The sequence below is a fragment of the Homo sapiens genome, chromosome 11 (genome assembly GCF_000001405.40).
Source record: "Homo sapiens chromosome 11, GRCh38.p14 Primary Assembly".
NCBI classification, from domain to species: domain Eukaryota; kingdom Metazoa; phylum Chordata; class Mammalia; order Primates; family Hominidae; genus Homo; species Homo sapiens.
Genome location: NC_000011.10, coordinates 77,741,639 through 77,768,567, shown reverse-complemented (window position 1 = coordinate 77,768,567; position 26,929 = coordinate 77,741,639). Strand labels below are relative to the sequence as shown.

At 38.9% G+C, this 26,929-nt stretch overlaps 1 protein-coding gene across 3 annotated transcripts in view, besides 2 other annotated features; it reads left to right on the top strand.

The window, feature by feature from the left end:
* RSF1 (remodeling and spacing factor 1) overlaps positions 1-26,929 on the top strand; it is a 212,224-nt gene that overhangs the window by 103,665 nt on the left and 81,630 nt on the right. For all 3 annotated transcript variants that reach the window (XM_017017923.2, XM_005274051.3, NM_016578.4), the window contains exons 2-3: positions 3,879-3,970; positions 21,440-21,532. In XM_017017923.2, coding sequence (XP_016873412.1) covers positions 3,879-3,970; positions 21,440-21,532 — 185 coding nt within the window. The remainder of the gene's footprint in view (positions 1-3,878; positions 3,971-21,439; positions 21,533-26,929) is intronic.
* Positions 14,202-14,785: an enhancer, noted in NCBI's record as "NANOG-H3K27ac hESC enhancer chr11:77464828-77465411 (GRCh37/hg19 assembly coordinates)". NCBI's record gives its function as "activates a minimal SCP1, AML or CMV promoter by ChIP-STARR-seq in naive H9 embryonic stem cells {active_cell/tissue: H9 hESC(naive)}" and the evidence as "EXISTENCE:reporter gene assay evidence [ECO:0000049][PMID:30033119]".
* Positions 14,786-15,370: an enhancer, noted in NCBI's record as "OCT4-NANOG-H3K27ac hESC enhancer chr11:77464243-77464827 (GRCh37/hg19 assembly coordinates)". NCBI's record gives its function as "activates a minimal SCP1, AML or CMV promoter by ChIP-STARR-seq in naive H9 embryonic stem cells {active_cell/tissue: H9 hESC(naive)}" and the evidence as "EXISTENCE:reporter gene assay evidence [ECO:0000049][PMID:30033119]".

Here is a 26,929-nt window from a genome sequence, read left to right as displayed (position 1 = left end):
AATTGAGATGTGCTGTCAATGTGAAATGCACAATGTATTTTAAATAGTCTGAAAAGTAAAATCTTTTACTTAGTACAAAAGAAAGTAATACTTTAAAAATAGTGATTGGCCGGGCGCAGTGGCTCAACACCTGTAATCCCAGCACTTTGGGAGGCCGAGGCGGGAGATCATGAGGTCAGGAGTTCGAGACCAGCCTGACGAACATGGCAAAACCCTGTCTTTACTAAAAATATAAAAATCAGCCAGGCGTGGTGGCGCACGCCTGTAATCCCAGCTACTGGGGAGGCTGAGGCAGGAGAATCGCTTGAACCCGGGAGGCAGAGGTTGCAGTGAGCCAAGATCACACCACTGCACTCCAGTCTGGGTGACAGAACGAGACTCTGTCTCAAAAAAAAAAAAAAAAAAAGCTGATAATATGTTGATATAATTTTGGATGAAGGGCATTAAATAAAATATATTATTAAAATTAATTTTAACCTCTTTTTACTTTTTATAATATTTTACTAGAAAATTTGAAATTATGTGACTCACCTTACATTTCTATTGCACAGTGCTGACTGTAGAAGAGCCAGTACTCTTTTAAATCAAGTAATACATAATCTATTTGTACATGCCTAAATCAACAATGAGTAGATTTGTAAAGTGGGATGAAAACATTTATTCACTTTTATTTTTGTCTTGTATTGGCTTTTAAAAAATAGTACCAGTTGTATCAAAATCTTTCATGATTCTGTGTAGCATAGAACACTGGTGGGGAACATGAGTAAAACACTGGTGCAAAGGTTTTAGCCAACTGCTTAATGAGTGATACAGACAGTATGAATACAGTGGGTGTTCCAGGGACAAAAAGGTTGCTGGTACTAGAAATCTATCACGGAGACTTTCGGGACTTGTATTGCCTAGACATTGAAAGATAAATATGATTCAAGTGGGCAGAAAACAATAAATAACTCTTTAATAAAGCCCACATAGGTAATGGGCTGAGCATGCTTAGTGGACCATTAACTGGCAAAATGATTCGAATCAAGGATTTCAGTGCAGGAAGTAAGAGAGAAGAATTGCAGAGTTAGTATGAGACTGAATGTTGGGACTCTGAGGCTAGGGTAAGAAATCTGGCTGGGTTTATGTAGGTATTTAGGAGCCATAAAAAATACTTACCAACTGGGAAGTGATATGAAAGCAGTCTTTTTGGAAGATTGGTTTGATTGCAGGAGACTATCCATAGCTGTTTTTCTGATGCGAGAAGGTATAGTCATGTCCTAGGGAAAGGAGGAAATAGGAGGCAGGTTTAAGATGTGGGAAGGGGGAACATCAATACTTCTGTGTTTGTGGAAAAGGAGAAATTGAAGAAAGTGACCTTGGTTTTAAAACAGAAGAGAAATAAAAGTATTTTATATTTATACAACGCTATACAGTTTCAAAATTCCATGAGATAGCCAACACAGCCTTTTTTAATGGAGAAATTGAGCTTCATTGTTTAAAGGACTTGACCAGAACCATTGTCCCCTTATATAGGTGGGGCAGCTGAGAATCCAGCCCAGATCTTTTATCACTGCACAACCAGTAAATCACTAAGTTTTGATAATTTTGTCTCCTAAACATTTCTCAGATCTGTCCACTTCTCTCTGTACCACCTCTACCTTAGTTTAGGCTACTTCTATCTTCTGGATTGAGGTTTTCCTGAATTTATATCTAGCTTCGGCCCTGCACCCCACCTCCTAAAACAAAAAAGCAAATAAAAACTTCTTTTGTTAATATTTAAAAATCTGTCTTCCTCCAATTCAATCATTAAGGTCTTCTAAAATGCAACAGACTCTCCTGCTTAAACTTTTACATAAAATCTAAACTTCTGAGCCTGGCCTCATTAGGCTGTAATTATCTATGTCCATTCCTCCAGTTCCATGTTCTTTTTGGTTTTTTAGCTATTTGCATCTGTTGTTTTTGTGCAAGCAATGCCCTTTCCCTCCTTTTCTCCATTCCACCCTTAACCCCCCATAATTCACATCTTAGTAGATTTGTCTATTTACTTGTCTTTGAACACTGTTCCCCACTCCCACCCCCAACCCACCACTCTACCTGCTATGAAGATTCACTCAAGTAGGCTCATTAAAGACAGAAGGACTGTTTCTTTCTTACTAGTATTTGACCCACTGAAAGTAGTTGAATGGGTGAATGTTTTTATATTTCAAAGTGTTGTTTCAAATTCAGAAGGAGCTTTAGTAGAGAATGAAAGAATGACTGAAAAATATTAGGTCATCATTTCCCAACCTGTCCCTCAGAGTGTTTGTATCCTACAAGATAGTGGATCAAATATGTTAGAGAACGCTGCAGATTATGTACCTATTTTGGATATTCACAATGCACATAAGGGCGAATGATAAGACAATGGTCCTGTGGTTTAAAGATAAAAAAACAACTTTTTTTTTTTTGATCCAGCATTTTGCCAATATATTTGAGTATGGGATCTTTTTAGGTAGTATACTGTAATTTCTCTTAGGTTACAAATATTTGATCATTTTAGGCCTGGTGCAGTGGCTCATGCCTGTAATCCCAGCATTTTGGGAGGCCAAGGTGGGCAGATCGCCTGAGATCAGGAGTTCCAGACAAGCCTGGCCAACGTGGTGAAACCCTGTCTCTACTAAAAATGCAAAAACTAGCCGGGAGTAGTGGTGGGCACCTGTAATTCCAGCTACTTGGGAGGCTGAGGCAGGAGAATTGCTTGAACCCAGGAGGCGGAGATTACAGTGAGCCAAGATTGTGCCACGGCACTTCAGCCTGGGCAAAAAGAGTGAGATACCGTTTCAAAAGAAAAAAGAAAAATGCTTATTTTGACAGCCGTATGTGTCCCTCTGGTCTAATTAATGTAATTAAATACAATCAGACCATGCCTAAATAATAGTTAGAGGAACTCTGATTGTTTACAGTCAAAGCAGAGAATCTGAGGGAAGATACGGCAGTCCTCAAATATTTGAAGGTTCCAACAGAAGAGGGATTAAAAGTACTGTCATTGAAACTAGAGAATAAGAGCCAGAATCAGGAGAGGAAGTTGTCAGAGGGCAGATTTTGACTGAGAGTAAGGGTAACTTTCTAGTAATTAGAACTATCCAGAAAACAGAACTAAGTGCTATGGAAGGTAAGTAATTTTTTTGTCCATGAAGCTTGTCAAGCAAAGATTCATAGAAATGCTACAGAGAAGTTTAACACATCAGACAAGGGATAGATTGGAAGAGTTTTCCAAAACAGTTTGGAAACTGTTAGTTTAATTTCTGTCGTATCTGTCAACTTGGAATTCATACTTCTTGGTTCCTTTCTAATTCTATGAATGTATGTCTTTGAAATCTCAGTAAAGGAACCAAATATTTGTTATTGCAGATAAACAATACAAACTTTAGTTGTATAGTTAAGTGCTTTTACTTGATGGTTTTTTTTTTTAACAAACTATTTTTTTAAGAGCAATTTTAGGTTCACAGAAAAATTAAGCAGCAAGTACGGAGAGTTCCCATGTATCCCTGTCCCCATACTCATACAACTTCTCTACTGTTGGCTCCCACAATAATGGTACATTTCTTATAATTGATGAACCTACATTGACATATAATTATCACCAAAGTTCATACTTTATATTAGGTTTTACTTTTATTTGATGGTGTTTTGAAAGAAAATGTGAATATTCTTGCTTGTCTTTGAGAAAGTGGTTTTTGGTCATTTCTTGCTGTAGTTTAGGCTTTTTTGATTCAGAGGTCTAAAAGTTAGCTAGTATCAACACTGTCTGTTTTGAGAAGGTATCCAGGGTTGGAGAAGATTATTTTTTTATTATCTTAAATGTTTAGAATTGTTTTATTTTGTTGGCTAATGATATTTTTTTTCTTTCTTTTAAGTACCAAAAGAATTGGTGGAGCTCCATTTGAAGCTGATGAGGAAAATTGGCAAATCTGTTACTGCAGACAGATGGGAAAAATATTTGATCAAGGTAACTAGTATTTGTAAATTTCCTGCTCTATTACTGAAATATTACTCTAGCATAAATTGATATTATGTTTTATAATACACATAATTTTTAATTAGTTTACTAAAAGTAAGACTATGGCTCCAAAATCCACATGACTGCAAGTATGTGATTCTCTTCTTTTGCTACTACTTAGTAGCAGTCTTGAGTCCTGAAGTTAGATTTCAGAAGTGTTATATCTCTTTTGTGCCTAACACTGTGCTCAGGACTTTTCATGTCTTTTCTCATTTAATTCTTAAAATCACCCTGATCACATCAAGTAAGAAACTAATAAGGCTCAGGGATGTTGTCATTTTTACTTTAGTTCACATAGTATGCATAGACTTATTTAGTGGTTCCCCTAGACTCTGTTATATAGAACAGAGGTCCCCAACCCCTGGGCCACAGACCAATAGTGGTCATCCCCATTCCTCTCCTTACCATGTGAGCTCTGCTTCCTCTGAGATCAGCTGCGGCATAGATTCTCATAGGAGTGCAAACCCTATCGTGAACTGCACATGCGAAGGATCTAGGTTGTGCACTCCTTATGAGAATCTACTGACTGATGATCCGTCACTATCTCCCATCACTTCCAGATGGGGCCATCTAGTTGATTCAAATGTAATGCATTTGAATCATCCCCAAACCATCTCCCTCCCACCCACCACCCCCAGTCTGTGGACAAATTATCTTCCGCAAAACTGGTCCCTGATGCCAGAAAGGTTGAGGACCACTGATACAGAAACATGCCATCTTTTTCGTTCCTCAGAATTTTTGCATATATGGTATCTTCTGCCTGGAGTACCTTCCCACCAGTTTGTTTTCCTAGCCAACTTATTTGTCCTTTAGGTCTCAGCTCAAGTAGTACTGTCTCCTTGAGTCCTTCTCTCAGGAAGATGTTCCTTCATGGATTTATGTTTAACCCTATTTTAGAAACTGTCATATGGTTTTATATTGAATGTTCATTATGTACCAGGCGCTGTTTAGTGCTTCCTTTGCATTATCTCAACTTTAAAATACTGATTATCCTCATTTTACTCACAAGGAAATTGATTTTGAGAAACTAAATAGAGTAACTTGTCTGGTCTCACATTGCTAAAAACGACAGAGCCAGCATTCAAATCCAGGACTTGGTGAATCCAGTACTTTAAAATATCACTGATGAAATGTTCCTCACATTTGTCTTTTGTGTATATTGTAAGTTTCTTGAAGGCTTCTTTTAATCTTTTTTTTTTTTTTTTTAAAGACAGTCTCACTCTGTCACCCAGGCTAGAGTGCAGTGGTGCTGTCTCGGCTCACTGCAACGTCCACCTCCTGGGTTCAAGCAATTCTCTTGCTTCAGCCTCCTGAGTAGCTGGGACTACAGGTGCGTGCCACCATGCCTGGCTAATTTTTTTTGTATTATTAGTAGAGACAGGGTTTCACCATATTGGCCAGGCTAGTCTCGAACTCCTGACCTCGTGATCCGCCCACCTCGGCCTCCCAAAGTGCTGGGATTACAGGCGTGAGCCACCGTGCCCGGCGGCTTCTTTTAATCTTTTATGCATCAGTATTAGATGGATCAATTAATCACTGAGACAATTTTAGTTTTCTTTCCCTTGACTGCCAGTAAGCTTAACTTTGTTATATTTATTTATTAGTTATAATCATTAGCTAGTTTTCTGATGGAATTTTTACCTTCCCTGTTACATGGCTCTTACAGTGCTCTCGTCTTTCTCCTTGTGGCATCATTGTACATATGTATTACTGAAAGCTGTTTCTTTTCCTTTTGAAGTAAATGGAATATAATTAATATAAAATTCTGTTTAAATCCAGAGCAAGTATCTGGCATCTGCTAGGCCTTGTTGCTTTGCTCATAGCAGACATTACCAACCTAAGCCTTCCTGCTAAGCCTAGACTTAGCAGACTACATTATTACACAAATCAGTCAGCATTGGCATCTATTTGTCATCTATTGTTAGTAATTCCCTAAGACAGCTGAACTAAGACCTATAGAATGAGCAGAAATTTTGTTAGGAAATAACCAGTAGCTTAGCCCTACTGTAATAGAAAGTACCTTGAGAAAATGACAGTGAGTGGAGGCCTAACAGTCATGTGTTCAGGAGGTTACTGTGATAATCCAACTGAGCAATAAGGAGACCTGAATTAAGGTTTTGGCACTAGGGATGGAAAGGAGGGGGTGGATGTAAGAGCTATTTGGAAGGTAAAATCAACAACTATTGATAATTGATAGTGAGAGAGAAAGAGAGAGAGGTGTCTAGGAACTGAGCTTAACCAAGGGCATTCATTTGTTATTGTGCTGTATCTTGCATTTGCTAACGTACATTCATCCGTAGTAGACAGGACCTCAAAAATCTAGGCGGATGACTTTTTACTTTGACAGCGGAATTACCCTTCTAAAAATAAGGAAACCCAGCTAGGCACAGTGGCTCACATGTGTAATCCTAGCACTTTGGGAGGCTGAGGCAGGTAGATTGCTTGAGCTCAGGAGTTCGAGACCAGCCTGGGCAACATGGCAAAATCCCATCTCTACAAAAAAAAAAAAAAAAAAAAAAGAAAAGAAAAGAAAATAATACAAAAAATAGCTGGGTGTGGTGGTGCATGCCTGTAGTACCAGCTATGCAAGAGGCTGAGGTGAAAGTATTGCTTCAGCTAGCTGAGGAGGTTGAGGCTGCAGTGAGCCAAGATCGTGCCACTGCACTCCAGCCTGGGCGACAGAGTGAGACCCTGTCTCAAAAAAAAAAAAAAAAAAAATCACCGAATGGAAATTTAAACTAGCAGTTCTGCTAGGACCTGTTAACTCTTGCTTTGTTGGATGGGCCTTGGCCTTATTCTTCACATTCCTTTTACTTGGCAAGTCATAAAGAAATTTCTCTGCCAGTGAACCTTTACGCTTCCATGAAATTCCCCTATTTTCTGTGGTTGTTAATGATTGATTAATGAGCAATTTCAGACACCTTGACCATGGATAATGAATACCACTATGCTAAATAACAATTTGCCTTCACATGCCTTCACAAATTTAGTACCTGCACCTCTACTTCTACTGCCCTGCCTCTTTCCTGAAGACAGCCATGTGAAGACCTTTAAAACTAGTGGGATAACCAATTATTAATAAATTATCCCTTAAAAGAAATCGCACTTGATTTCTTTTAGCCTCAGAATAATTTCTAAGTAAATAGGAGTTTAAAAAAAAAAAGAAATACTGTAACATTGAATGTAGTAAGTGTTTCAAAGAAATGTTAAAAAATGAAAGCAAATACGAATCTTAGAATAAGCAGAAAGTATTTTGGGGGGCTCAGTACTTGAAAGATGATGTCATTAAGTAGAAAATAACCTAATGTGGCCAGGTGCGGTGGCTCACGCCTGTAATCCCAGCACTTTGGGAGGCCAGGGCTGGCGGATCACAAGGTCAGGAGATTGAGACCATCCTGACCAACATGGTGAAACCCCGTCCCTACTGAAAATACAAAAAAAAATTAGCTGGGCGTGGTGGCAAGCGCCCAGCTACTCCGGAGGCTGAGGCAGGAGAACCGCTTGAATCTGGGAGGCGGAAGTTGCAGGGAGGCGGAGGTTGCAGTGAGCCGAGATCGCGGTGAGCCGAGATTGCACCACTGCACTCCACCCTGGTGACAGAGCGAGACTCCGTTTCAGAAAAAAAAAAAGAAAGAAAATAACCTAGTGTGTCTTTTCTGGGGTGTTTTTCTACCCCTCAACAGGAGATGATCGTATTCATATGTACCCTGAAAGTAAAGTACCTAGTATTAGGTTTAGAAATCCCTTGAAAATGAATAAATTTGGCAATAGATGGCCTTGATCTAAACAGCAATTTCAGAAAGGCCCATTGTCATCTGTTAACAAATCATAAAGGTCACCTTTTGTCATTTGATAATTAGGTTGTATTTTGACAAGAACTAGATGTTCCTTTACTGTTGTATTTCTCAAAAGTAAATTAAGATTAACACTCTTAATTTTTATATGCATTGTTAGTATTTTGTGTTTTTTATTGAGATATAATTCACATAAGATAAAATTCACCATTTTGAAGTGTACAGTTCATTGGTTTTTAGTGTATTCACTATGTTGTGCAAACATAACCACTAATTCCAGAACTTTTCTAACATCTCAGTAAGAAGCCTTGTATCTGTTATCAATCAGTATCAATCACACCCACCTTTTCCCCTGTATCCATCTGTATGGATTTGCCTACTCTGGACATTTCTTATAAATGGAATCATAAAATATGTGGTCTTTTGTATTTTCTTTCACTTAGTATTAGTATAATGATTTCCAGGTTTATGTACATTGTATCATGTATCATCTCATTCCTTTTTATTGCCAAATACTCATCCATTATATGGATAATAGCATCTTTTATGTATCCATCATCAGTTGATGGACATTTGCTTGTTTCCCACTTTGTTGTCTATTAGGAATAATGCTGCTATGGACATTTGTGTACAAGTTTTTCTGTGAACACGTATTTTCACTTCTCTCCTGTATATAACTAGGAGTAGAATTGTTAGGTCATATGGTAATTCTGTGTTTAACTTTTTAAGGACCTGCCAAACTGTTTTCCATAGCGGCTGTACCATAGCAATTTATGTTGTATTCATAGCAATTTATGAGGTTTCCAGTTTCTTTATAACTTTTTAATAATAATGATAATAGATAACATTTGACAGCTTATTATAAACTCAGTGCTATGCTTTTTTTTTTTTTTTTTTAACATGCATCACCATTTAATTCTCACCACAACCTGGATCATAGAATGGTGAATTACTCCCAAAGTCACATAGACACCAGATGGTGAAGCAAGGATTGAACACAGGCTTGTCTGATAGAGCATGAATGCTTAATGCTTTATATATTGCAAAGGATTTTCTTTTTCTTTTTGAGATGGAGTCTTGCTTTTTCGCCAGGCTGGAGTGAGTGCAGTGGCACAATCTCGGCTCACTGCAACCTCCGCCTCCTGGATTTAAGCGATTCTCCTGCCTCAGCCTCCTGAGTAGTTGGGATTACAGGCACACGCCACCATGCCTGGCTAATTTTTGTATTTTTAGTAAAGACGGGGTTTCACCATGTTGGGCAGGATGGTCTCGAGAGATCTCTTGACCTCGTGATCTGCCCGCCTTGGCCTCCCAAAATGCTGGGATTACAGGTGTGAGCCGCTACGCCCAGCCTTAGCATTTTCATAAAACTTTTACAATGCCAAGCTAAAATTTTTTATTTTTTGTAGAGGTGGCATCTCGCCACATTGCCCAGGCCGATCTCAAACTCCTGGGCTCAAGTGATCCTCCTGCCTTGGCCTCCCAAAGTGTTGGGATTACAGGTGTGAGCCACTGCACCTGGTTTGTGGTATTTTACAAATATCTTTTGACTGTTGCCTATAGTATAAAATACTTATTTGTTGAACTATGACAGCTTGCAAAATACAGTGGATACACTGTTTCATATCATATAGAAAAATTCACTGAAAATAGATCAACAACCTAAATATAAGGGCTAAATCATGAAACTCTTAGAAAAAAATAAAGGGAAATCTTCATGACCTTGGATCTGGCAATGGATTCTTAGATAGAAAACCAGAAGACTGAGCAACAACATAAAAAATAGATTAGTTAGACTTTGTCAAATTTTAAAACATTTGTACATCAAAGGACATTATGAAGAAAGTGAAAAGACAGCCTACAGAATGGAAGAAGTTATATTGCAAATTGCACGTATTGCAAATCATATAACTGATAAGCATTTAATATTTGGAATACATATAAGGAGCTCCTAAAACTCAACAACATAAAGACAACCCAAATGGCAAAATTTTTAATAGACATTTCTTCAAAGAAGATACACAAAGATCAAAAAGCATATGAGAAGAAGTTCATCATCATTTGTCCTTGGGGAAATGTGATTCAAAACCGTAAAATACCACTTTATACCTAACAGGATGGCTATTTTTTTTAAAAAGGAAAGTAAGTGTGGTGAATTTGTGGAGAAATTGGAACTCTCCTAAATTCTTCGTGAGAGTGTAATATGGTACAGCTGCTATGGAAGGGAGTTTGGCAGTTCCTCATAAAGCTCATCAGAATTGCCATATGACCTAGCAATTCCACTTCTACATATATAATTACTCCAGAGCAGGGACTCAAGCAGATCTTTGTATGCCAGTGTTTATTGCAGCATTATTCACTGTAGCCAAAAGGTAGAAACAACCTGTGTTCATCAACAGATGGATGGATTTTGCATTGAACAGAAATCTTATGTATAATATAAAAGAAAGATGAATTGGACTTTTTTCAGAAGTCTTGTGGTTTTACTGGATATCCGCTTAAAAATGGAATATGTGAAAGTTCTTTTGTGAGTGGTAAAACCATGTAGACTTGTTATTGCTTTCCTAAGATACATGTACAATCTGAATCTACCTTCTTTTTTTTTTTTTTTTCTTCTGAGACTGGATCTCCCTCTGTCGCCCAGTCTAGAGTGCAGTGGCGCAGTCACAGCTCACTGCAGCCTTGGTCCCCTGGTCTGAGTGATCCTTCCACTTACTTCAGCCTCCCCAGTAGCCGGAACTACAGACTCACGCTACCACACCTGGCTAATTTTTTAATTTTTAATTTTAGAGACAGTGTCTCACTATGTTGTCCAGGCTGATCTTGAACTCCTGAGCTCAAGTAATCTCCCAGCCTTCCAGAGTGCTGAGATTACAAGCATGAGCCACCACGCTTAGCCTGAATCTGACTTCTCTTGAATATCCTCTGCCACAGCGTAGCTCAAGCTTCATTACCTTTCCTTTGAATTATTACAACTGGCTTTAGTTGTTCTCCTTGACATTAGAATCTGTGCTCCTATCTGTCCTGCAGTGCCAGCAGGACTGTTTTCTTTTTTCTTTTTTTTTCTTCTTTTTTTGAGACGGAGTTTCGCTCTGTCGCCAGGTTGGAGTGCAGTGGCACAGTCTTGGCTCACTGCAACCTCCGCTTCCCGGGTTCAAGCGATTCTCCTGCCTTGGCCTCCCAAGTAGCTGGGATTACAGGCATGCACCACCTCGCCCAACCAATTTTTGTATTTTTAGTAGAGACGGGGTTTCACCATGTTGGCCAGGATGGTCTCGATCTCCTGACCTCGTGATCCACCCGCCTTGGCCTCCCAAAGTGCTGGGATTACAGGTGTGAGCCACCGTGCTTGGCCCCAAGACTATTTGCTGTTAGTGCCTCCAGAGCCTCATTGGGTCGCCATATTTACTAGCCATGACCCACTTTCACAGACCTGCTCACTGTCTTCCTTCATGGTCTTGTCTCTGTCCATTGCCAATCCCAAAAACCTTTATGCCAGGGCTTTATGCTAGCCTTTATGCTAGGGCTCTAGCATAAAGAACTGTATTCAACTCCACCTTGACAGAACATGCCATAATCATTCACATCTCTCCTTTAAAAAACATAGTTTTTTTCTTTCTCAAATGAGCTTTACCTCCTTATCCACTAAAACCTCATTCATCCTTCTGGTCCTAGCACAGATGTCACCACCTGAAGAAAAGTTTCCTTGGTTTCCCTTCACCCCTTGGCTTGAGTTAGTGTTTCCTCTCTGTTTTCATAGTACTTCATAGCTGTGTCAGTTACTCACTTTGTAGATAACTCACTGACTGCTTTTCCCCTGATAATTATTTGTTTACGATTGTCTCTTCCTCTCTGGATTCTGAAATTCTTGGAGCAGAGACTGTCTTTTAATCCATCTTTGCCCTTCCAATATTTAAAGCGGGATATGTCTCATAGCTCTGTTCCATAAATGTTTCAGTCCTCCAGAATAATTACTGCAATTGCTATTTCTCTCATTCTTTAAGTAAAGCACATACCCACTTTGCCGTACTTTCCTCCTGAGGTTAACATTACTTTCAATCTAAGGGTTGTTAGAGAATTTTCTTTATCATGTTATTATTTTATTTTCAGTGTAGCATTTTCACCTCTTGATATTTTCTTACTAGTTTACCCATTTTACTACCTCCATGATGACAGGTTGTCTTCTTCACCATGGTATCCGAGCGTTTGTCTAGTTCCGGCCACATAGTCGGCACATAGTAAATGTTTGTGGAATTACTGAAAAGGTTGTTATGAGAATTTACTGAGTTAATATTTTAAAGTACTTAAAATAGTATTTGGCACATAGTAAATATGCAAAAAATGTTATTATTGTAGTAAGAATTGAAAAGTTTTTCTTTTTTTTTTTTTTTTTTGAGACAGAGTTTTGCTCTTGTTGCCCAAGCTGGAGTGCAATGGCATGATCTCAGCTCACTGCAACCTCTGCCTCCTGGGTTCAAGGGACTCTCCTGCCTCAGCCTCCCTAGTAGCTGGGGATTACAAGCATGTGCCACCATGCCCAGCTAATTTTGTATTTTTAGCTGAGACAGGGTTTCTCCGTGTTGGTCAGGCTGGTCTCAAACTCCCAACCTCAGGTGATCTGCCCGCCTTGCACTCCCAAAGTGCTGGGATTACAGGTGTGAGCCACCACGCCTGGCCTGAAAAGTTTCTTTAGGATGTGTTATGTTACCTAAAGAAATTATTGTTAAGATAATTTTTGTTTAATTAAGATAAAAACAATACCTTTGTATGTCTTTCATATACTCATCATGTTTGTTTTGTACTTGCTCTTTGTCTCAAACTTTGTCAAGGGATATGAATATGAGTAAGATGCAGCTCTTCACTTCCCAGAGCTCAGCTATTAAGTTCTTCTTCACACCGGTAATCCCAGCACTTTCAGAGGCCAGGGCAGGCGGATCACGAGGTCAGGAGTTCAAGACTAGCCTGGCCAACATGGTGAAACCCCATCTCTACTAAAAATACAAAAATTAGCCAGGCATGGTGGCGCGTACCTGTAGTCCCAGCTACTCGGGAGGCTGAGGCAGAAGAATTGCTTGAACCTGGGGGGCAGAGGTTGCAGTGAGCTGAGATCACTCCATGGCACTCCAGCCTGGGCAACAGAGCAAGACTCTATCTCAAAAAAAAAAAAATCTTCTTGATTCAGATTTGAAAGGTTTGAGTAAAGACAATGTGACCCAGTCAGAAGATCTCTGAATGACTTTCAGCAACACATTTCTTAGATGTCTGATACATACCATCATCTTTATGTACAAACAAATCTCTCATTAACTTCCTTCTCCCAATTTTAATACCTTAGTTAAAAGCATTTTTCCTGTTTGTTCAAGCCAAGGAACCTTGATAAATCCAGGGGTCACCCTTGATTTTTCTTTCCATTCACCCTCCACATCTGTTCCATCAGCTGTCCTGATAATTCTACCTCCAAACCACAGCTTACTTCTCTCTGATCCCCACTACCCTCATAATGCATGCCACCATTGGCCTTCAGGTTGGTTTCCTAGTTTCCCCTTCTTGCTCCTCTGCAATCCATTTTCTACATAGCAGCCATGATTTCAAATGAAGCATTAATCAGATCATACTATTTTCCCCTTATTTAAAATCCTTTAGTGATATCCCATCATATTTGAAATAGAATCTTAATTCCTTACCCTAACCTACATAATTTGGCCTTTGGTTACCTATTTTACCATATCTTTTGCCACTTTCCTCCTTAGTCTAGTTAATTTACACTGGTCTTTTTTGTTTTTTGAGACAGGGTCTCACTGTGGCAACCAGGCTGGAGTGCAGTGGCAAGATCTTGGATCACTGCAACCTTGACTTCCTGGGCTCAAGCAATCCTCCTGCCTCAGCCTCCCTAGTAGCTAGGATTATAGATGTGTACCGCTATACCAGGCTGGGACTACACACATGAGCCACCATACCTGGCTAATTCTGTTAGTTTTAGTTTTTGTTTTTTGGGGGTTTTCTTTTTTTTCGACACAGGGTCTCACTGTCACCTAGACTGGAGTGCAGTGGTGTGACCTCAGCTCACTGCAGCCACCATCTCCCTGGCTTCTGCCTCAGCCCCACCCCCTCACCCCCACCCCACAACCTTAGCTGGGACTACAGGCCTGCACCACCATGCCTGGCTAATTTTTTGTAGAGACAGGGTTTTGCCATGTTGCCCAGGCTGGTCTCAAACTCCTGGGCTCAAGCAATCCTCCTGCCTTGGTCTCTCAGTGTGCTGGGATTACAGGAGTGAATCACCACATACCAAGCCCTAATTTTTAAAATTTTTAGTAGACACAGAGTCTCCCTACATTACCCAGGCTGGTCTCAAACTCCTGGGTTCAAGTGATCCTCCTACCTCAGCCTCCCAAAGTGTTGGGATTACAGGCATGAGTCACCTACCCCAGTCTCAAATGTCAACTTTTTATTGAGGCTGTCAGTAAGCACCCGATCCAGAGTAGTACTTAAACTTTCTGTATCACATTACTCTTTTTTATTTTCAGCATATTATTTTTAGTGCTTGATATTTTCTTACTAGTTTTCCTGTTTGACTGCCTCATAGGATATAACCTCCATCATGATGGTAGAACTACCCAATCAATGCCCCCTGCCCATGTAGAGCAGCTGAATTGCAATAGTGGAAGAGTTTTACCAAGATAGAATCATCTAAAGGGAAGACCAGAGTCATAATTATTATTCAAATTAGTCTCCTCTAGCATTTGGGGGCTAGGGTTTTTCAAACACAGTTTAGGGGAAGGAGTTGGGTGGCTAGGCAATGGGTGCTTACTGCTTATTGGTTGGGGGTGCAAGAGAAATGGTCTTCCTGCATACTTGGTCGTTGCTGGGTGGGGCCACAGATTGGCAGGTCCACGTGGAGCCACTGGTTATCAGACATACAACAAACCTGGAAAGACCTCTTAAAAGGCCAATCTTAGGTTGTACAATAGTGATGTTATCTGCAGGAATAATTGGAGAAGTTGCATGTCTTGTTACCTTCTGAATAATGGCTGGCAATCCTTTACCTCTACCAGGGGAGTCCAATCTTTTGGCTTCTGTGGGCCACATTGGAAGAAGAGGAGTTACCTTGGGGCACACATAAAATACACTAACATGAATGATAGCTGATGTGCTTTTAAAAATCACAAAAATTCTCATGTTTTAAGAAAGTTTACAGATTTGTATTGGGCCTCATTTAAAACCGTCCTGTTGTGGGCCACGCGTTGGACAAGTTTGCACACCTTAGCCAGTTCAGGCTCCTCTATCCTCCTAGCCTAGTGGTGTCTCATTAGCTTTACAAAGGCAGTTGAGTTTTGGGGAAGGGCCATTGTCATTTAAATTGTAAACTAAATGTCTCCCAAAGTTTAAGCCCAGGAATAATTAAGGGCAGATTAAAGGCAAGATGGGAGTTGGCTAGATTAGATCTCCCCCATTGTCATAATTTTTTCGCTAGTATAATTTTTGCAAAGGCGATTTTGTTACCAGAAAGAGGTCCCAATCCAGACCCCAAGAGAGTGTTCTTGGAGCTTGCACAAGAAAGAATTCGAGGCAAATCTATAAGGTAAAATGAAAGCAAGTTTATTAAGAAATAAAGGAATAAAAGAATGGCTACTCCATAGGCAGAGCAGCCTTGAGGGCTGCTGCTTGCCCATTTTTATGGTTATTTCTTGATTATATGCTAAACAAAGGGTGGATTATTCATGCCTCTCATTTTTAGACCATATAGGGTAAAAATTGTTCCTGGTGTTGCCATCGCATTTGTAGACTGTTTTGGTGCTGGTGGGAATGTAGCAGTGAGGACAACCATAGGTCATTCTTGTGGCCATCCTGGTTTTGGGGGGTTTGGGGTGGCTTCTTTACTGCAACCTGTTTTATCAGCAAGGTCTTTATGACCTTTATCTTGTGCCGACTTCCTATCTCATCCTGTGACTTAGAATGCTTTAACCTCCTGGGAATGCAGCCCAGTAGGTCTCAGTCTTATGTTACTCAGCCCCTATTCAAGATGAAGCTGCCCTGGTTCAGTACCTCTGACAGTTTGCGACCTCATCTGGGGCGACATCCAAGGTTTATTGTCTCACAGCCAGGGACATCAAGGACTCAGATACACAGAGAGTGAGGTTAAGAGTGGAAGTTTAATAGGCAAAAGAGAGAATAGCTCTCAGCTACAGAGAGGGGTCCCAGAAAAATGGATTGCCATTCCATGGTGAAATGCAAGGGGTTTTATAGATGAATTGATGGGGAGGTGGTGTCTAATCTACATAGGGCGGGCGTGAAAAAACAGTTAAGAATAGGTGTGCCGTTCGCATAGGAGCGAATTTCTGGCATCCCCCACCTTAGTCTTTTATTATGCAGGCGGATTTTCAGCCTGAGCTGTGCCATGTTCCCCCTTTCTTTCTTACCGTATACGTGCTAACAAAAAAGGGAAGATGGAGTGTCCATGGTGGACATGCCTGGCCCCCAGGTAGCCCTTTTCTATTGGCACAGCTGCCAGCATTCCACCTTGCAACCTTTCAGCTTCCATATTTATGTTTGCAGCTCGATTTTTCAGGCTGCTCTTTATTAGAAAAATAAATAACTTCTTGGGCTGCTTTTTGTTAGAAGGGAAGTTCTGCTGAGGACTTTTGCCCTCGCTGTCTGTCTAAATAATTTCTTTCTATCTCCTGTATCAGTTTGAATGGGTTGTCTTTTTCACCATGGTATCTGAGCTCCTAGACTAGTTACTGCCATATAGTCTGCACATAGTAATATTTGTGGAGTCACTGGTTAAGTGAATCTCTTTCAACTTTATGTTTCTCAATTGTAAAATAAGGATTTGGATCTAAATGATCTCCAAGGATTCCTCTTGTGAAAGATAAAGCCTGACACTAGTTAAAGCTGATAAAGACAGATTTTATTCAGTAACTATCGCAGTACAGGAAGGAGCTGTGCTGTGTTCGAATTTGTGCAGAGGTGACTGGGTGTTTATAAAGGAGAAAGAGGGAATAGGGAGAGGAGTGGGAGGAATGGGGGAGCTTTAGTCAAGTTATGGAAGTGAAAAATTTAAAAAGAAGCTAAGAGCGTTGTTGACCTTCTGTGATTATGTCATTTCTGTCTTCTAAGTAGCATTAATGGAAATTAGGCATCTGCCCTCTCACAGAGACTGGTAGACCGAGGCCCTGTCTGTTGGTTATATTTCAAAGGAATGGCCTTCAGGTCCTTCAGAAAGATATTCTGGGTCTTAGGAAATACATATGCATCTCAAGGGGACAGAAGAAGGATTTACAATTTTAAATTTGTTTAATAAATGGGAAGGGGAGGTCTGCGACCTGTCTTCAGATGTTGGCTGGAATCAGAAGTAAATTCCTTTGAGAGCCTTGGGTTTTTCCAGACTGGAACTTAAGTGGGGCTAGCTGCCCCCAGGGATGAGATCTTAGGCTCTTAGAAGCCATTTCACACCCTCTTTTTAAATTTCTTATGAGTTATCCAAAAGAATTATTGTTACTTTGATTGTTTATGTAAATCCAAGATAAATAAGTTAATGATCCCACTGAGATAAAGTCTATGTATTTGCTCTGTAGGCATGTGAAGTCACCTTTCCTATATATATTGAGCTGATACGGAACCTTTAAAAAAGCTCCCTTCCTTTCCTCTGCCCAACATTTTCCATCCTCATCCTCCACTTTGTTTACCTGTATGTAGAGGTTAGGAGGAAAAGATGTAAGGGGTATTGGAATGGCAGTAGACTGGTGGCCAGGATGCCTCCCTGGCCAAATATTTGACTTTCACCCTTGCAGGCACCAAACATTGATTCTGGTGTTGTGTCAGGAGAATGGTTGTCCCTCAGGCACCAAGCAGGAGAACGCAATAGGACCTGACCTATCAGCTAGATTTATAGATAATCAAACAAAGAACAAGTATTATAGAATAATGATTTATGGTGATAATAGGTACGAATGTTATGTCAAATTGTTCATGTTTTAGATATTAGAACATTCTCTCCCTCAAGAGAAATTGCATGTAAAACCAAATTATAATTATAACGCTTCTTGGTCAGAAACAAGTTGGAGCATGGGGAATTAATATGAATTACCAATGTAATTAGGATCTGGTTGCTTCCAGGACCCAAGAATTCACCGTTATAGACAGTCTCTGATAGACACAGCTAATTTCTGGCTCCCTAGGCAGATTATAGCTCATGAGCCACATCCTGCCTGGTACCTGTCTCAAAAAGCTAAGAATGGTTTTTACATATTTAGATGATTGGGAGAAAAACTCAAAAGAAGAATAATATTTGGTGACATGTAAAAATTCTATGAAATTCAAATTTCATTATCCATAAACAAAGTGTTACGGGAATACAGCCATGCCTGTTCATTTATGTATATTCTATGGCTGATTTTGCACCATGATAGTAGGTTTGAATAGATACAAGAGAGACTCTATGGCCTATAGTGCCTAAATTATTTCTTGTTTGGGCCTTGAGGAAAAACTTGCTTACCCCGGGTGTAGATTAAATAGTTTTGCATAAGAATTATTTAGATGTCTTTTTGAATAATCTTTTTATTTGCAAGTTTTATTTGCAGTGTTCATTTTGTGGTAACAGTAGGTTATAGCTGTTTTGTGCATAGCTAATTAGTGGATTTTTTTTTTTTTAACATCAAATGGCACAGCAGTATGTCTAAATTGCCCTTAAAGAAATACAAAATGGGCCGGGCATGTGGCTCACACCTGTAATCCCAGCACTTGGGGATGCCAAGCCAGGCGAATCGCAAGGTCAGGAATTCGAGACCAGCCTGGCCAATATGGTGAAACCTCGTCTCTACCAAAAATACAAAAATTAGCCAGGCATGGTGGTGGGCGCCTGTAGTCTCAGCTACTCGGGAGGCTGAGGCAGGAGAATCTCTTGAACCTGGGAGGCAGAGGTTGCAGTGAGCCGAGATCGCACCACTGCACTCCAGCCTGGGCGACAGAGTGAGACTCCGTCTCAGAAATACAAAATGAGTAGTAAATTTATCTTTGAAATCTGCAAAACAAATGTACCCTAAATGTTATAAATAAAGGTCAGTAAATTTAAGTTAAACAGTGTGGGGGCAAAGGATTTTTATCATCTTTATATCCATTTCTCTTTTTTTATCCTCCCCTTTTACACATAGATGCGAATCAGTAGTTGTTGTTTTTGGAATTTGTGACACTGTGAGCCATTGGCTGTGCTTCCATATCTGGTTTGTTGGCCAAACTTTGGAGCTATGTCGTTTTTCACCTCTCAGATACTAAGGATGAGCTTCCCCATACTTGGCATTAGCCTCTGGGATAGTCAGCCAACGTTATCTTCTTCTAGGGACTTGGTACTCAACCGAGCACTCAATAAGTGCTTCATTCAGGTCATAGCTGGACTCTGCATTGTTGATTGTCTCTCTGTCTTTCTTTTTTTTAAATTTGAGATATTCACATACCAGAAAATTTACCGTTTAAACAATTTAGTGTTTATTAACATATTTACAGGGAATATACAACCATCATCATTATCTTAATTTGAGAACACTTTTATTACTCTAAAAAGAAATTGCCTACCCATCAGCAGTCACTTCCCATTCCTTCCTTCCCCTACCCACTGGGAACTGCTAATCTACTTTTATCTGTATGGATTTGACTATTCTGGACACTTCATATACATGGAATCATGCAATATGTGGCCTTTTGTGTCTGGTTTCTTTCACTTAACATGTTTTCAAGCCTTGTCTATGCTATAGTATATTATTACCTCATTTCTTTTTATGCTTACATAAAATTCCATTGTGTGGTGTGCCACAGTTTATCCATTCACCTGTTAGTGGACATTTGGGTTGCTTCCACCTTTTGGCAGTTGTGAATAATACTGCGAGGAACATTTGTATACAAGTTTTTGTGTAGACGTACGTTTTCCTCTTTCTTGTGTAAATACTTAGGAGTGTAATGGCTAAGTCATATGGTAGCTAAATATTAACATTTTAGGAATTGCCAAGCTGTTTTCCAAGGCAACTGCACCATTTTACATTCCCAGTAACAACCTGTGAGCATTCAAATTTTTCCGTATCGTCAACCAACATTTATTATTATCTTTCTCATTGTGGTAAAATGTCTATTCAGATTCTGACATTTTAGCTTTTGATATAATCACTTTAGGGTCTTCCTCATGTAATATTTATATTTTTCCCTTTTTCTGTATATCCTTTTTTTTCTCTCTGAAAAACGTAACACTGTCAGCCAGAGGAAGTAATATATTCTAGGGAATGGGAAACTCATGCTTCCTGTGAGTCTTTAAACTGTCCATTGTCCATCTTGGCAACATGAAGAAACCCCGTCTCTACAAAAAGTACAAAAATCAGCCAGGTGTGGTGGCACACGGCTATAGCCCCAGCTTCTCGGGTGGCTGAGGTGGGAGGATCACCTGAGCCCAGGGGGTCAAGGTTGCAGTGAGCTGTGATCGTGTCCCTGTACTCTACCCTGGGTAACAGAGTGAGACCTATCTCCAAAAAAAAAAAAAGAAAAAAAAAAAAGATCCTCTATTATATTGTTCCTGGCCATACTGCTTGTTTTGTATTCTTTTTCTATATTAATACTAATCTATTATTTTATTGCACAAATCGATGAAAAGAGATGACACTATGACACTAGTGCAGGCTAGGAAAAGGGTAACCCACCTGAGAGAGCTGGCTTGTTTTTCTCCTGTCTACCCCATTCCCTGTACTCCAGGTTAATCTCTTGCCTTGTGTTGGTTCTTCTCCTTTGGCCCTCGTTATGCTCTTTGCTCCTTGAATTGCAAGAAATACGTGAAATTGCTGGCATTTTGTATCATTTTTTGCCTACTCTTTGGCCTTTAAGATAATATTATTAATGTTCCAGTTTTATTGCTGAAAAAACTAGCTCACAGAGGTCATAGAACCCATTTGCATTTCACTGTGTTAACCTCCCTTACTGGCTTCCTCTGACCTCTAGTTTAGGGTGATGCTGCTGAAATGAGAGAAAGTTTCTTGCACTGGCTTTGAAATGCAGTGGTTATTCAGATCTTCTTTCTTTGGTCTGTTACAGTGGCTCTGGTTTGCCTGAAATGCTTGTGTAGAAAGAGAAGCCTAGACATTTATCTTAAAGCCAAGTTACATAAGTTTTCATATGCCAAGAATGGAATTTTAACTTTACTCCTAAATAGTAGAACAATGAGTTCAAGAGAGGCGTGGTTAAAAGTATGTGTAGAATTTGGCATGTTTTTTGAACTAATTCTGTCCTAGGCAAAAAGATGAATAAATTTTTGTCATTGCCCTAAAGGAACTTCCAGCCATTTGGAGAGATGGAATCAAACAATTACTCTCATGCGGGAAAATGTGTCTATAAAGTATGTATAAAGTTCTTGATAGCAGAGGAGAGAGCTACAGAGATCCCTTCTTACCTTAAATTCAGTTATCAAACAATAGTAAATATTTTTTATCATTTTAAGTAGTATGCATTTTAGGGTGCAGTTGGATTGGACTGTTTAGTGTAACCTCTTTCCTTTATAAACATGTATTAACAAGAACAGCATAGTTGTACAAGCCTGCAAACATAAATAAAAATTGCTTTCATGTATTAAGATATTAACTTTATCTGACAGATATGCCAAGAGTTTAACAGTACCTGGGCATGGGAGATGGAGAAGAAGGGCTATCTTGAAATGAGTGTTGAATGCAAACTAGCACTCTTAAAGGTAATAAATCTATTATTTGTTACAGTTATTTTAATTTAAAATTTAACTTTTGACTCCTGGTTAAATTGGAAAATAAACAAAAAGTAGACATTTTTATTATTAGCAGAAGAGGACAATGGAGTCTATTTTTTAGTGACAATCTATTCTTTAAAGTGCTGTTTTTTGATGCATAAATATATCTAGGTTTAATTATCTCTTCTTGTAGGGACAGTAATAACATGGGCAAGCAGTTGCTCCAAATTAGTTTTATTCATTGTTTTCAGCCTTCACAATCATTACTATATACTGTAAACTGTGGATAATTTTTTACCGATTTACTAAATTAGCAATTTGATACTGTTTTCTGGATGACTAGGAGCATGTCATTTCGTACTTAAAACCCTCACATAACCAAACCAACTTGATTTAAATGGGTCATCTCAAAGTAGGCTTTTTTACAAGTTTGAGTTTTCCTTTCTTTTCCTGCCCACTTCCTACTGTTGGCCCTAATTAGTAGCAAAGTGGCCAGCATAGTAGAGGAGAAAAAATATTCTTTGTGAAAACATTAATGAAGTTTTTGCTACTTCTAAAATTTATAATGTTTTGTAAGTAGGCTTCTTATTCAAAAGACCTCAAGATTTTATGATGAACCTTAAAATATAATGTCAATATACATATTACTATTTTGGAGCTAGATAAGACTATAGAGTAGGTGTTATTTTGCTGTTAGATGTTGATTGCTGTTGGAGCCTACACAGAAGTCTTCAAGATCCAAAAGATACCTGTCTCAGAAAACCAAATGTCATAGTAAGCTCAGATTTCAGGGTGTACAATCATGCAGGTTCATCTGTCTCTAGACCAGCTTGTGGTCCCAAGGGGGTAATTGTGATTCCTTGCGAGTCAAAGTTATAGAAATTATACTCATAACTTTTATTAATCCCAATTTTTGAAATACCTTTTTGTGCATTCCTATAATGTATGTAATACTTTAGTATACATACTGACCTCTAGGTTAGGGGGATGCTACTGAAAAGTATGTAATACTTTAGTATTACATACATTATATATTAGTGTGTATACTATGTATTTATTATGTAAATACATAAGAAAGTGGATATAATACATATAACTTTTCAGGGTGTGTTACAAATTTTTTTAGTAGTAAGGATGCTTGATCAAAAATGTTTAGAGACCATTGGGATAGCTGACATAGGCAAAGGCATAAGGGCTATAATAGGAAGTAACTTAATGTGTTGTCTGCCCGGGCAGAGATAGGAAGAAATCTGACTTATACCCTAATCATACAAAATACATAACAAAAAGTTAGTTAGTTCTTCCAATCTAGTATGTGAATATCTTTTTATTAAGAGAATTCTCCAGAGCCAGCTATCAATGAAAATCTACCTTCCTTGAAAACTGCATATGTCTCAGGCTTTCAAAAATAGATAGTCCTTTAAGAATAATGTTCACCTAAAACCTGGAAGAGAGAAAGAATTATTGAAAGTTTTATACCATGACTACTGAATAACCAACATGTTAAAAAAAAATCCAAAAGGAAATTTTAAAACTCTTGAGAGAAATGAAAATGGAAAGTCAACATGCCAGAACTTACAAAATGCAGCAAAAGCAAATCTAAGAGGGAAGTTCATAGCAATCGATGGCCATATTAAAAAAGAAGAAAGATCTCAAATAACAACCTAATGTTACACTGCAAGAAACTAGAAGAACGAACTAAACCCAAACTCAGTAGAAGGAAGAAGATAACCAAGATATGAGTAAAATTAAATGAAATAGAGACTAGAAAAAAACAGTAGAAAAGATAAACAAAACTAAGAGTTGGTTTTTGAGAAGATAAACAAAACTGACAACCTTTAGCTAGGCTAAGAAAGAGAGAAGACTTAAATCAGAAATTAAAGTGGAGACATTATAACCAATACCACAGAAATACAAAGGATCATAGAAACAACTATGAACAATTGTTTGGATTATATAGAAAAAAATGGATATATACTAGAAGCATGTATCTTACTAAGACTGAATTACGAAGAAATAGAAAATCTGAACAGACTAATAACAAGTAAGAAAATTGAACCAGTAGTAAAAAATGTCCCATCAGAGAAAAGCCCAGGGTATGATGGCTTCACAGCTGAATTCTACCAAACATTTAAAGAATAACTAATAGTAGTCCTTCTCAATGTCTTCTAAAAAGCTGAAGAGGAGAAAATACTTCCAGACTAATTTTAGAAGGCCAGCATTATACTGATCCCAAAACTGGACACAAACACTATAAGAAAAGTAATATTCCCAATGAACACAGATGCAAAAATCCTTAACAAAATACTAGCAGCCAAATTTAATAGCACATAAATGAGATCATTCACCATGATCAAGTGGGATTTATCCCAGAATGCAAGGATTGTTCATCCTATGCAAATCAATAAATGTGATACATGGCCAGGTACAGTGGCTCACACCTGTAATCCCAGCACTTTGGGAAGCTGAGGCAAGAGAATCACTTTAGCCCAGGAGTTCAACACCAGCCTGGGCAACATAGCGAGATCACTTCTCTGTAAAATATTTTAAAAAGCTAGCTAGCTGGGTGTTGTGGCGTGTACCTGTAGACCTAGCTGCTGGGGAGATTGAGGCAGAGGATTGCTTGAGCTGTGATCGTGCCACTGCACTTCAGCCTGGGTAACAGAGTGAGACTCTTGTCTTTAAAAAATAAATAAGCCAGGCGGGGTGGCTCACGCCTGTAATCCCAGCACTTTGGGAGGCTGAGGCGGATGGATCAGTAGAGGTCAGGAGTTCAGGACCAGCCTGGCCAACATGGTGAAACCACATCTCTACTAAAAGTACAAAAATCAGCTGGGCATAGTGGCACATATCTGTAATTCCAACTACTAGGGAGGCTGAGGCAAGAGAATTGCTTGAGCTCGGGAGGCAGAGGTTGCAGTGAGCTGTGACCACACCACTGCACTCTAGCCTGGGTGACAGAGCAAGACTCTGTCTCAAAAAATTAATTAATTAATTAACTAAATAAAGTTGTGATGCTCCACATTAAGAGAATGAAGGACAAATATTATATGATCATATGAGTATATGCAGAAAAAACATTTGAGAAAATTCAACTTTGCTTTCATGATAAAAACTCTCAACAAATTAGGTGTGAAAAGAATATGTATCAGTGCAGTAAAGGCCATATAATACAACCCCTCAGCTTACATGTACCCAACAGTGAAAAACTGAAAGCTTTTCCTTTAACATCAGGAGCAAGACAAGGACACCCACTTGCCACTTACATTCAACATAGTACTGGAAGTCGTAGCCAGAACAGTTAGGTACAAAAAGAAATAAGTCATCTGAATTGGAAAGGAAGAAGTTAAATTGTGACTGTTTGCAGATGACATGATTTTATGTATAAAAAATCCTAAAGACTCTACCAACAGACTATTAGAACTAATAAATGAATTCAGTAAAATTGCGAGATATAAAATCAATATACAAAAATTAGAAGTGTTTCTACTCATAAATCACAGACAATCCAAAAAAGAAATTATAAAAACCAATTCATTACAATAGCATCAAAAAATAAAATATTTAGGAGTAAATTTGACCAAAGAGGTAAAAGATCTCTATACTGAAAACTACAAAACATTATGAAAGAAAAGACAAATGAAAAGATGTCCTGTGTTCATGGATTAAAAGAATTAATCTTGTTAAGATGTCCGTACTACCCAAAGTGATCTACAGATTCAACGCAGTCCCTATCAAATTCCAATGGCATTGTTCACAGAAATAAAACACAACCCTAAAATTCATATGGAACCACAGGAACCTGAGTAACTAAAGCAGTCTTGAGCCAGAAGAACAAAACTGGAGGCATCATACTACCTGATCTCAAAAATCTACTGAGTTATAGTAATCAGAACAACATGGTACTGGTAAAAAGCAGATATATCGACCACTGGAACAGGATAGAAAGCCCAGAAACAAACTCATGTATTGATGGTCAGTTGCTTTTTGACGGTGGTATCAGGATTACACACTGTGCAAAGGACAGTCTATTCAATAAATGGTGCTGGGAAAACTGGTCATCCACATGCAGGAGAATGAAATTAGACCCTTATCTTACACCATACACAAATTATCTTAGTGGATTAAAGACTTACATATAGACCCGAAAGTATAAAACTACTAAAAGAGTTCAATATTCAAACCATATAAAGAACTCAAGCAACAGCAAGAAAACAATCTGATTTAAAAATGGGCAAAGGACTTCAGTAGACATTTCTCAGAAAAAGACGTAGGAAATGGCCAACAGATAATATGAATAAATGCTCAATATCACTAATTATCAGGGTAATGCATTTTAAAACCACAGTGGAGTATCACTTCATGCTTGTTAGGATGGCTGTTATCAAAAAGACAAGACAAGAGATAACAAGTTTGGTAAAGATGTACAGAAAAGGGAACCCTTGAGGCCAGGTGCAGTGGCTCATGCCTGTAATCCCAGCACTTTGGGAGGCCAAGGCAGGCGGATCACGAGGTTAAGAGATCAAGACCATCCTGACCAACATGATGAAACCCTGTCTCTACTAAAAATACAAAAATTAGCTGGGCATGGTGGCACGCCCCTGTAGTCCCAGCTACTCAGGAGGCTGAGGCAAGAGAATCTCTTGAACCCAGGAGGCGGAGGTTACAGTGAGCCGAGATCGCGCCACTGCACTCCAGCCTGGTGACAGAATGAAACTCTGTCTTAAAAAAGAAAAAAGAAAAGGGAACCCTTGCACGCTGATTGTGAGAATGTAAATTAGTTCGGCTATTATGGAAAATAACATGGAGGCTCCTCAAAAAATTCAAAATAGAACTACCATATGATTCAGCATCCTACTGCTGGATATATATCCAACGGAAGAAGAATTTGTTTCTTGAAGTGGTATCTGCACTCCTGTGTTCACTGCAGCATTAATCACAATAACCAAGATACAGGATCATTCTAAATGTCCGTCAACAGAAGAATGTAAAATGAAAAGAAGGAAATTCCTGCTTTCGTGACAACACGGTTGAACCTGGAGGTCATTATGTTAAGTAAAATAAGCAACGCACTGAAAGAAATACCCCATGATATTACTTAATGTGGAATCTAAAAGAGTCAGACTCATAGAATCACAGTAGATTGGTGATTACCAGGGATTAGGGAGGTGAGGGTAGACTGGGGAGATATTGGCCCAAGCTACAAAAAGTCAGACAGGAGGAATTAGTTCAGGAGATCAGTTGTATAACATGGTGACTATAGATAATAACAATATATAATATATTTGAAAATTGCTAAGAGGCTAGATTTTAAATGTTCTCACCACCAAAAATTCTTAGGTAGTAGATGTGTTTATTAGCTTGGTTTAGCCATTCCACACTATA